Source organism: Homo sapiens, chromosome 17 (assembly GCF_000001405.40).
Source record: "Homo sapiens chromosome 17, GRCh38.p14 Primary Assembly".
NCBI lineage: Eukaryota > Metazoa > Chordata > Mammalia > Primates > Hominidae > Homo > Homo sapiens.
The window spans coordinates 11,744,599-11,757,469 of record NC_000017.11 but is presented as its reverse complement, the minus strand read 5'-3'; the positions used below and the strand labels follow the sequence as shown (position 1 = coordinate 11,757,469).

The window sequence follows — 12,871 nt, the reverse complement described above, 5'->3', positions numbered from 1 at the left end:
CTCTGTTTGGAAAATGTACAGAAGACTGGACTGAAAAGAAAAGGAGATTTGGCCAAGATGTGAGCGGGTAAATGGGTTTGCTATTGAGGACCAACTCCAGCGGACTGATGATAGATGGATGGGGAGCAGCTTTGAGAATCCTAGAGAGATTCTCAAAAGCTAGGAGAATGCCCAACCCAGCCTCCTAAAGTGCTGGGATGATAGGTGTGAGCCACAGAGCCCGGCCCAACAATTTTTTTAAGTGCACACTACAGTATGGCTAACTATAGGCACTGTGTTGTACAGCAGGTCTCTAGAACTTACTCATCCTGCAGAAGTGAAATTTTGTACCCATTGACCAACATCTGCCCCTGCCCCCCAACCCTCACCTTTGGCAACTGACATTCTACTCCCTGCTTCTTTAAGTTTGATTTTGCCACACAATTAAAAAAAAAATCTTCCAGTCTCTGTTAATAAATTTGTTCAGTGGAGACAGATGAAACTTAAGGGATAGAGTTGCAATTTTGCACCAGGAGTTAGTGATAAACAGTGATATTTGGTCATCTCCATTGACGTGGAGGCTAGAACTGGCCTAAAAGTAGCCTAAGTTAGACACTTCTGTGCAGAGGATAGTTGTGCAGCTCAAAAGCCATTTCCCTTCTTATTACCACAACATTTCCAAATTCACAAAACTGCACGTGAGGCTTCTGGCTCCCATGTGGAGATTCCTTCTGAGCCAGCAAAACTACGTGTGAAGCCAGAGGTACCTCCCTAAGTGGAGTAGCTTTGTGGTTCTTCCCTTCTTGGGCCGTACCTGCTCTAGAGACAGTTGCTGGAGTGGCTGTGCGCAGGTGGCTGATCTCAAAGAGGAGCTTCATGGTGGGGTTCAGAGGAATCCTCTCATTGCTGGCCAATGTCAGCACCTGGAGACAACAGGGAAGGGCATGCCAGTGAGGAAGGAGGGAGGTGCCTTGCCAGCCTGTGGGGATTTGGCTGATTATTATTGGTTTGGTTGGGATTATGGAGAATTATTTCCTTTATATGGTTTGGCTGTGTCCCCACCCAAATCTCATCTTGAATTGTAGCTCCCATAATTCCCATGTGTTGTGGGAGGGACCCAGTGGGAGACAATTGAATCATGGGAGTGGTTTCCCCCATACAGTTCTCATGGTTGTGAGTGAGTCTCACAAGATCTGATTTTTTTTTTTTTTTTTTTGACAGAGTCTCGCTCTGTCACCCAGGCTGGAGTGCAGTGGCACAATCTTGGCTCACTGCAAGCTCTGCCTCCAGGGTTCATGCCATTCTCCTGCCCCAGCCTCCCAAGTAGTTGAAACTACAGGTGCCTGCCACCATGTCCAGCTAATTTTTTGTATTTTTTGTAGAGACGGGGTTTCGCTGTGTTAGCCAGGGATGGTCTTGATCTCCTGACCTCGTGATCCGCCCACCTCAGCTTCCCAAAGTGCTCACAGGCTTGAACCACCACGCCAGGTCGATCTGATGGTTTTATAAGGGGAAATCCCTTTCACTTGGCTCTCATTCTCTCTGTCTGCTGCCATGTAAGACGCGCCTTTCACCTTCTGCCATGATTGTGAGGCTTCCTCATTTACGTGGAACTGTCAGTTCATTAAACCTCTTTTTCTTTATAAATTACCCAGTCTCTGGTATGTCTTTATCAGCAGTGTGAAAACGAACTAATATATTCCTTCTTTGTGATGAATAGTATTTTCTAAATTTTCTACAATAATCCTCTTTCTTCCTATGCACTCTCCACCACCACCCCTGTGTGTGTGTGTGTGTGTGTGTATGTGTGTTGAGTCAGAAAAAAAAAGTTATTTAAACAGTTTAAGTTGATGTTGGTGATTTGAATGAACTAGACTATATTGGAACAATGGAACTCTTAAAGGAAAAGAACTTACATTTCATATTAATACTGTTCCTTTTATAGTAGTACCTCATGAAAGATCCCTACAAAAAGAATTACAAAACCCTGCTTAAATAAATCAGAGATTACACGAACAAATGGAAAAATATCCCGTGTTCATGGATAGGAAGAATCAAACTCATTAAATGACCATACTGCCCAAAACACTGTATGGATTCAATGCCATTCCTACTAAATTACCAATGACATTCTTCACAGAACTAGAAAAAACTATTTTAAAATTCATATGGAACCAAAAAAGAGCCAGAATAGCTAAGGCAATCATAAGCAAAAAAAACAAAGCTGGAGGCATCATGTTACCTGACTTCAAACTATACTGCAGGGCTACAGTAACCAAAACAGCATGGTACTGGTACAAAAACAGACACATAGATCAATGGAACAGAATAGAGAGCCCAGAAATAAGGCCACACACCTATGACCATCTGATCTTCAACAAAGCTGACAAAAACAAGCATTTGGGGAAGCCTATTTAACACATGGTGCTGGGATAACTGGCTAGCCATATGTGGAAGACTGAAACTGGCGCCCTTCTTTACATGATATACAAAGATTAACTCAAGAGGATTAAAAACTTAAATGTAAAATCCAAAACTATAAAAGCCCTGGAAGACAACCTAGGCAATACCATCTTGGCCATAAGAATGCGCAAAGATTTAATGACAAAGATGCCAAAAGCCATTGCAACAAATGCAAAATTGACAAATGGGATCTAATTAAACTAAAGAGCTTCTGACAGCAAAAGAAATGATCAATAGAGTGAACAGACAACCTAAAGAATGGGAAAAATATTTGCAAACTATGCATCTGACAAAGGTCTAATATCCAGCATCTATAAGGAACTTAAGCAAATTTATGAGAAAAAAACAAACAATACCATTAAAAAGTGGACAAAGAACATGAACAGACACTTTTCTAAAGATGACAATTTTTGTGGCCAAAAAGCATATGAAAAAAACTCAACATCACTGATTATTAGAGAAATGCAAATCAAAACCACAATGAGATTCCATCTCACACCAGTCAGAATTGCTATTATTAAAATGTCAATAAAAGAACAGAGGCTGGTGAGGTTGTGGAGAAAAGGGAACACATTTATACACTGTTGGTGGGAGTGTAAATTAGTTTATCCATTGTGGAAAGCGGTATGGTGCCTCCACAAAAGCTAAAAACAGAAATACTGTTTGACCCAGGAATTTCATTACTGGACATATATCCAGAGGAATATAAATCATTCTACTATAAAGACATATGAACGCAAATGTTTATTGCCACACTCTTCACAATGGCAAAGACATGGAACCAACCTAAATGCCCATCAATGACAGACTGGATAAAGAAAATGTGGTACATACACACCATGGAATACTATGCAGCCATAAAAATAATGAGATCATGTTTTGTTTTTTTTTTTTGGGAACATGAATGGAGCTGGAGGCCATTACCTTAGCAAACTAATGTAGGAACAGAAGACCAAATGCTACATGTTCTCATTTGTAAGTGGGAGCTAAATGATGAGAACTCGTGAACACAAAGAAGGGAACAACAGACAGGACACTGGAGCCCCCTTGAGGGTACAAGGTAGGAGGAGGGAGAGGTGCAGAAAATGTAACTATTGGTACTGAACTTAGTACCTGGGTGATGAAATAATGTGTACAACAAACCCCTGTGACATGAGTTTGCCTACGTAACAAACCTGCACAGGTACCCTCAAACCTAAAATAAAAGTGGAAAAAACAATCAAGTACTCTCTCCAGGAGAGCATACTTTTATTCTAACAATCCTGTAAACGTTAAAGGCATTTTAAAACTTGTAATCTGGACATGCTCTCTAAACAAGCTTACAAACAGCTACCAGCTTAACAGCCACCAGCTAGTTTTTGGAGATGGAGTTTCGCTCTTGTTGCCCAGGCTGGAGTGCAATGGCGCGATCTCGGCTCACTGCAACCTCTGCCTCCGGGTTCAAGCAATTCTCCTGCCTCAGCCTCCTGAATAGCTGGGATTACAGGCGCTTGCCACAACGCCTAGCTAATTTTTTGTATTTTTCATAGAGATGGGGGTTTCACCATGTTGGCCAGGCTGGTCTTGAACTCCTGACCTCAGGTGATCTGCCCGCCTTGGCCTCCCAGGGTGCTGGGACTACAGAGGTTTCATTGTTTATAAAAAATAAAATAGCCTCTCAATGGAACAATATTTGACACCATGAAAGATGTTTGACAGGCTTGGAATGTTTCTGATCTTCAATATCCTTATTCTAGAAGAGCATAAAAAGAAAAAGTAAAAAGATGTGAATGAATGACTTAAGACTGCTTTGAACTCTAAATACTAAAGAGTCTATGTGCAGAACATTCTGATGCAAATTATAATAATGCCAAAACTGGTGTGAGCCATGGCAGTACCATTGATGTAAGCAAAAGTTGCTGCTGGGAATTTATCAGTGCAGAGATGTGTGGTGAAGATGCTGATGATAGTTCCTTACTCTGAGCCAGCCATCATGTGGAATCTAGATTTGCAAGTATGCCTGCCACACTGGGTGACTGGTTTCACAGGTGATTAGAAATGATCTAGGGATATCCCCCAATTTCATACCTTGTTATCATCCATGACAGTATTCAGGGATTCAATCCACATTGGATCTATGTCGCCATCCAGTAAAATCCACTTGGGCCCATCATGGGTGATGTTGGCAAGCTCCCGCATGATGGAAGAGAACAATCCTAAAAGGAACCACTGACACCTTATTTTCCATTTCTTCATTAATCCTCTTTCACTTAAACACAGCTTTCCCCCTTTAGCTACAACACACAGAAGGGGGCGTACATGGAACATGCAAAGGCAGATCAGACCTGGTTTTATTTTTATTTTATTTTACTTTATTTTTTTTTAGATGGAGGCTTGCTCTGTTGCCAGGCTGGAGTGCAGTGGTGTGATCTCAGCTCACTGCAACCTCTGCCTCCTGGGTTCAAGCGATTGTCCTGCCTCAGCCTCCTGAGTAGCTGGGACTAGAGATGCGTGCCACCATGCCCAGCTAATTTTTTTGTATTTTTAGTAGAGACGCGGTTTCACCATGCTGGCCAGGATGCAGATCTGGTTTTATATCTTGCTTTGCAAAAACCTGGCAGTGCCCAAGGTGCATTCTCCCTGTGCTTTAGTCTAACTTTTCATAACATTAACAAGAACAAGAACAACTCCTGATAGTACAAGCTTTTTAAGTGACAAAGTGGATCATTACAGCAAGTAACTATGACATGATGAAACTACATTAAACTTTTTAAGGTAGAGTTTTCATGCTTTGTAATTGCAGTCTTGGCGAATCTTGCCAAACACAAGCTTTGGAAAGCGGCCCATCTGATTCTAATTGTCATTACCTGAAATTTATATATTAATTTGGGCAGAATTGATTTTTATGATATTAAACTTCCCTAGTTAATAGTATGGTACGTCTGTTCATTTATTCACATATGGCTTTATGTCCCTAATACATTTTTACAGATTTTAAAATATATGTGTTTGGTTAAATGTGTTCCTAAATATCTCATGATTTTTATTGCTACTGTGAAAAGAATTTTCTCCTCCTGCACTTCTATTTTTAATTGACTCTTGCCAGTATTGAGAAAAGTTACCAAATTTTGTGTATTTATTTTATGTTCAGTTGCCTTTAATGAACTTTCTTATTAATTCTAGTAATTTTTCAGTAATGTCTAATACATTTTCTAGGTATAAAGTTGCATAATAAACAACACAATAATTTCTCTCCTTTCCTCTAATTTTTTTTTCTTTCCTCCAATTTATACCATCTATTTCATTTTCTTGTCCTATTACATTTTCTAGAACCCCAGTAAGCAATAATGTTGACAATAGGCATCCCTAACTTGTTCCTTATTTTTCATGGAAATTTACTGTATCATTATTCAGAATGACTTTGTTTTCATTTCAGCTTTAGGTACAGAGCATTTATTATATTTTAGGGGTTTCCTTCTATTCCTACTTTACTTAGAATTTTCTATTAGGAATGAATTGCATTTTAAGTATCTATTTAGTGATCAAATGATTTTCCCCTTTAGTTTGTTAATGTTTTATGTTAATACTGTTAAAAACAATTGCTCTATCCCTACATTCCTGGAATAGCTTTTACTTGGTCAAAGGGTATTATTTTTGAGATACTGTTTGATTCTCCTTACTGATATTTTATTTAGAATATTTGTGTCTATATTAATGAGTAACATTGGGTTTTTTTGGCTCCACATAAAAGTTGATATTAATATTATTCTTGCTCTGTAAGATAATTTCAGAGTTATCTTTTCATGATTTTGAAATTATCTGTTTTTTGCTCTACTCTTTTTTAACTTTTTCTTTTCACTAGTTTACTCAATTTTTCTACTTCTTAATGAAGAAATTTTATTAATTTATATTTTGCTAGGGGTTGATTTATTTCTTTTAGTTTTTCAAGTATGTGTCATCAATTAAATATTTTCTTCTACTTTACTCTTGTCTGTTAATTCCAAATTATATGTATATTTACTCTTTTTTCCCATTAATCACTCTCACAATAGACTTATCTTATTGGTCTTTACAGCGAACCAATATTTACATTTATTTATCTTTTATATAATCTGTTTGTGTTCCTCCTAGTGACTAATTTCAGCTTTTATCTTTATCAGTTCCTTTTCCGTCATTTTCTTTGTGTTTAGTTTGAACAATTTCTTATGATGAATATTAACTTCCTTTACTTCCAGCCTACCTTTTATAATAAAGTGAGTTTAAAAAGTTTTCCCTTAGAGGTTTTAGATGGAGCCCATAGGTGTTCTTGTATGAAGTATTTTTTTTATTGCATCCTAGAGAGGTTTGCAATTAAATTTCCTTTTTGATACAGGAATTAAGAGAGCATTTCTTGATTTGCAAGTAGTAAAATCATTTTTGGTGACTTTCTTGCTATTTGTTTCTAATTCTATTCCATTATTATCAGAGAATGTGACCTGTAAATTGATATTGTTGAATTCATTATAGCTTTCTCTGTAGCCAATTACATTTTTAATTTTTGGAAATGTTACATGAACCAATCAGGAAAGGAATACTTTCTATTTATGGGATAAAAAGTTCTATAACTTTGTTATTATATTGAGTTTGGTGATATAATTGCCAATTCCTTTATGTACTTATTTTTCTGTTTACTGGAATTAATTTTGAAAATAAAAAACAGATAACAAATAAATAAATAAAACTAAAATAACCTGTTGATTTGTATTCTTTTAAAGTTATCCAAAAAATTTTTTTTTTTGGTAGACATGGGGTCTCAACTATGTTGCCTAGGCTGGTCTCAAATTCCTGGCCTCAAATGATCTTCCCATCTTGGCCTCCCAAAGCACTGGGATTATAGGAATGAGCCACTGTGCCTGGCCCCTAAACATATTTTAAAGGCTATGTTCCATTTACTTCGAAGTTACCTTGTTCAGTGAACACAGACTTGTGATTATTATATCTTGTCAATTTTCCCAAATTTAATGTATAAATCTAATAAAATTTTAACTAGAATTCAGACTTAAAAGTTTGAATTATATTATTGAGCTTATATTTAATATGAAAAAAGAAGTGCTTGAGACAAGACAATAAAATTACAAAAGATTACTGAGGAGGGACTTACCTCATTGGATATTAAAATATGTTATAAAATGATTGTAACTGAAATAAAATGACATTAGTATAGGATTAGATAAACAGGTGAGTCAAACAGAATAGAAAGCCCAGAATCAGATCTCAATATACATATGCAATTTAGTAAATGACAAGCTGGTGTTTAAATTCAGAGGGAAAGGATAGTTTACTTAATAAATGGTACGGTTACAATCAATTATCCATCTAGAAGGAAATAAAGTTGATTCTGTACCCTGCCTCATACTAAGCCCCAACATAAATTCCAGATGGATAAAAAATGTTAATGTAAAAAGAATCTTTTTTGACCAAATTTATGATACTAGATCAGCAGCTGAAGAATTATAAACTAATAGAAATCCCAGATGCTAAAAAGACTAGACAGGCATAATTTCCTTTGTTAAAAAGAGCATGGGAGAATAAAGTGTCTATAGACAAAGAATAGGTTGGGGAAGCATTAGCAATGCATGTGACAGATAAGGGGTTAATATCTTTGATATATTAAAAAACTCTTGGCCTGGCATCATGGTGGCTTACACCTGTAATCCCAGAACTTTGGGAGGCTGAGGCGGGAGGATCATGAGGTCAGGAGATTGAGACCATCCTGGCTGACACGGTGAAACCCTGTCTCTACTAAAAATACAAAAAATTAGCTGGGCGTGGTGGCAGGCACCTGTAGTCCCAGCTACTCGGGAGGCTGAGGCAGAAGAATGGCGTGAACCTGGGAGGCAGAGCTTGCAGTCGGCTGAGATTGTGCCACTGCATTCCAGCCTGGGCGACAGAGTGAGTCTCTGTCTCAAAAAAAAAAAAAAAACAAAAAAAAAAACAAAAAAAAACCCTCTTAAAAATTGGTAAGAAAAACAGGAAATAAAATCACAAAAGAGCAAATTACTAAGATCAATAAGAAGGAAAGATGCTAAGTCTCATTAACAGCAAAATAAAAATTAGACTCTGGTTGTTAAATCCTTGTGTTCTAGACCTCAGATGAAAGCTCCTAAATTAGAGAAATCCAGAGAGTTTGACCCGGATGTGGTCAGACATTGAAACATCAGGAAGGAGCTGAGATTTCCTCATTCCAGAAGCTACATAGGTTTTAGAAAGAGGTCCTCCTTATCAGCTCAAGGACCTCTTTTTTTCCCCCTCAACTTTCTTTTCTGCTGTCCTCCAGTGCCAAACGACCCTTTACAATGTCTATTGGTGAAGTTTAGTTCTTTGAAGGTAAGGCTGAGATCAGCACCCAGGGTTGGGGGCCTCTGAATCACTGTAGAAAGGAATATGGCTCTAGGGGCCCTCTTGAGATTGAATGGATAATCATCAGGGGCCTGGCATGCGCACAAGGTTCTGTAGCATGCAGCTTCCCCATCACTGCTGGGGCAACATCAAATAGGGGAGTCGTGCCCTTTATAGGATGCCAGACTGCACCACTTCTTTGGGAATGAGCCGTGGGCTTCCCTACCCAACACATACTTGAAGTCTACTGCCAGGCAGCATTAACACTCTACACCACGGCTCATACTCCAGAGTCAGTGAACTACAGCTGAATGCCTATGTTGCTTTATCTTATTTATTTATTTGAGATGGAGTCTTGCTTTGTCACCCAGACTGGAGTGCAGTGGCACGATCTTGGCTCACTGCAACCTCCACCACCCGGGTTCAAGCAATTCTTCTGCCTCAGTCTCCTGAGCAGCTGGGACTACAGATGTGCACCACCACGCCCAGCTGATTTTTTTTTTTTTTTTTTTTTTTTTTTTTGTATTTTTAGTAGAGACAGGGTTTCACCATATTGGCCAGGCTGGTCTCGAACTCCTGACCTCGTGATCCACCCACCTCCGCTTCCCAAAGTGTTGGGATTACAGGCGTGAGCCACTGTGCCCAGCCAGCTTTATCCTCTTTAAATGCACTCTCTAAAAGGCAGCTGGAAGAGGTCCCCAAGGAGGGAGAATATCTGAAAAACTGAAGTTCCCCTGCAAGCCAAAATTGGTTTCTCCCTTTCTACTGGCTTTTTTGTCTCCCTCCGCGGTTCCAAACAGATCAGTCCAATGTTTGCTTCTGCAATTCACCCAACTGCATCCAAGCCCGCCACAGGGACTCTGAGGCTAGCAGAGACTTTCTCCTGGGAGAATCCCACTCTTACCATCCTTCCATTCTCCTGTGGCTGGATTGATGATGCCAAAGAGCTCATCATTTGTGACTGCTTTGGGATTGAGGTCAGTCCAGACGGGGCGCCGTTTCATGATCTGATAGGTCTTGTGCAAGGACCTCAGCACCTGTGACTTGCCGGTACCAGCGCCACCCACCACAAATACAGAGTGCCGCACAGCCAGGAGCTCCTCCAGCTGGACCACCTGAGGAGGCAGGAAATTCAGCCAGAGGGACCAGCCTGTGACTCACCTGCATCCCAACTGCTCTTCTGTGACCCCAGCTGGTGTCTGAAGTGAGACCTGAAGTCAACAGAGGAAGAGTTATCTACCCCAAGATGTCAGGAGGTCTGAAATATAGGGGCAACATGATTCATTTGTTCCTGTATTCATCATTCAGTTATATAATTATTAGTCACCAACCAAGTGCTACAGAGTGTGCCAGGCGAGGGGGATTCAGATGTGATCCTCCTGCCCTCTGTGATCTTATAGTGTGATGGAGAAGAAAGTCATGTGGACAAATTATTCTAAGGTAAGAGGATAAGTACTATCTTAGAGGTATTTATAAGGTGCTGTGGAAACAGAGAGGAGGGAACAATTGATTTTGTACACATAACTTACAAGTCCCCACAACTTAGAAGTTCAATAAAACACATAAGAACTTTCAGCTTATTACTCTATTCTTGCTTTGAATAAATTCACTTTTCTTAAGGTTCTCTTTTCTGGGAGACTACTGACTTCCAGCTCTAATTTGAATTGATTGCTTTCTAGGCCTGCTAACGGCTGTCATTTCAGGATTTTTTTTCTTGATTCTTGATTTTTTTGAATCTCACAATATTTTTCTTGTTTTTCATTCTTGTTTTGCTGTAGTATGTCCTCAAGTAACTTACTCAAAAAGGGTGCATAAGAAGTAACATTTATGAGTCTGAGAATATCATGGATGATAATTTGGTTGTATAGAATTCTAGTCTTGAAATCATTTCCCTTAAAAACTTTGAAGGACTGCTTTTCTTATTCTCAAATATCCAATTTAGCTGACAAGAGATTCTGAGCTCCTTTTAAATTTCATTCCTTTCCTGGATCACTTGTTGATATGGTTTGGCTTTGTGTCCCTACCCAAATCTCATCTCGAATCCCCATGTGTCGAGGGAGGGATCTGGTGGGAGGTGGTTGGATCATGGGGGCAGTTTCCCCCATGCTGTTCTTGTGATACTGAGTGAGTTCTCACGAGATCTGATGGTTTTATAACCAGCATGGTGCAGGGAGGAGGTGTAGCATGCAGAACAGAGCATGGAGTCTGATCTTACACTTCATTTCAAGCCCTTGCTCCTCCACCTGATTTGTAGCAGATTGTTATTTAATTAGATCTGTGATAAATGTTACAAAGGAAAAATGCACTGTGCAAGGAAGACAAAGGGTGTCTGCAGCTCTTTATTTCCCCTCCACTCTTTCTCTCTCTTTCCTTCTGCCTTGTGAGGAAGGACTTGCTTCTCCTTCACCTTCTGCCATGATTGTAAGTTTCCTGAGGCCTCCCCAGCCATGCAGAACTGTGAGTTAATTAAACCTCTTTCCTGACTACCCAGTCTCAGGTATTAATACACTAGTACTACCTCCTCACTCAACTAGGAGACTTATTCTTTTCTCTTGACTCTTGACCTCTGAAATTGCATTATGATGTGTCACTGCACAGATTCATTTGAAGTCATTCTGTTCAGTACTGTCTTTCCAATGTGGATACATGTCTTTCCAGCTCTAGTTATCTTTCTGTTCTTTTTCTAGAATTCTTACTGGTAACATGTTGGATAACCTAAATTGATCCTCTATACATCATCTCACCTCTCGCACTTTCTGTATCTGTGTGTGTGTGCATGTGTGAATATTTTACCATACACACACACACACAATACATAATACTGCTTATAACTTTATCCTGGGATGTTGCCTTTATCTTCCCATCCTCTCACTGAATTTTGAATGCCATAGATGATACAATTTTACATTTAAAAGAGGTCTTTATAATTCTCCAATAGTGCTTTCTTTGTACAATGGCATCTAATTCTTGTTTGATGGATATCATTTTTTAAAATTTCCTTCAAAGACGCTAATTATAACTTGAAGAATATTCTCTTTGTTATTTTCACTGGCTGTTTTTGTTGTGTGTGTGTGTCTGTGTCTGTCCATCTGTCTTTATCTTGCGTGTTGTCGGGTTTCTTCAATATCTGGTAAGCCTCAAGGTTAAATAAGGAGCTGTGCTGTGTTTTCCAGGAGGCTGGGAGGGGTATTCTCCTCTGCTGGTTTTGGGTGTTCTCTTTTGCTGGTCTCTATCCAGGATAGTAGGATTGAGTGGAGGTTCTGTAGATGTGGCCAGATCTTGGCCTCTGTCTTTGTCCTTTCATTTATGGGTGAGTGAGCAGATAGTTGGCATTCAGGCTGAGGTACACCAAACAGAATGGAAGGGCTGTAAAGTAAGGATCCTCCAACTTTCCCTTGTATTCCCTACCATGCATTCCACATTGTGGGTCCCCAGTTAAGAGTGGTTGAAATGAATTGAGTTATTACTAACTAGATACATATTTGTACATCTAAAACAACCCTTTGGATTATGGATGAAGGATAACCCATTATCCTGGACAATAAGTAAGAGATAGAGAAATCCTGGGAGGAAAAACCACATGTACCTTGAGCACAAAGTTGTCCTCAGCCTGGAGCTTCAGATCCACTATCGCCTTCCTAACCAAAGCTTCGAAGTTGGGGTCTCTCCTCCGGGGGACATCCAGGGCGGGAAAGAGGTCCCCGATCAGGCCCATGAAGATGGGCATGTCATCAGTCACAATCTTGGGGATGTTGAAATCCCGCAAGGAGCGCATCAGGACCTGGTCCTCAGGCCGGTCAGGGTCTCCTCTCTTCAGGGATCCTGCCACCACCAGCACGGACTTGATGGCCCGTAGGCCCCAGTCGTAGTGATCCTGTGGGCAGTGTTAGATCAAAGTGACAGAGAGACAGAACACCATGTGCTGGGGTGAGTGTCTGCAGAATCATAGATATGCTATGAGCATTAGGTCACCTCTGAAGCCTGGACAGAGACGTGGGAAGGGATGACTTAGAAAATGATGATCCCAGAATTTAGTTCCTGGTCTAACACTTGCTACTTTTCCAGTTGTGAT

The 12,871-nt window shown here is 39.7% G+C and overlaps 1 protein-coding gene across 6 annotated transcripts in view; it reads right to left on the bottom strand.

Moving 5' to 3' along the window:
• The window catches only part of DNAH9 (dynein axonemal heavy chain 9), a 371,279-nt gene that overhangs the window by 212,279 nt on the left and 146,129 nt on the right, over positions 1-12,871 (bottom strand). For all 6 annotated transcript variants that reach the window (XM_011523703.3, NM_001372.4, XM_017024292.3 and 3 more), the window contains 4 exons: positions 12,386-12,673; positions 9,704-9,914; positions 4,510-4,637; positions 794-902 (listed from right to left, as the gene is read on the bottom strand). In XM_011523703.3, coding sequence (XP_011522005.1) covers positions 794-902; positions 4,510-4,637; positions 9,704-9,914; positions 12,386-12,673 — 736 coding nt within the window. The remainder of the gene's footprint in view (positions 1-793; positions 903-4,509; positions 4,638-9,703; positions 9,915-12,385; positions 12,674-12,871) is intronic.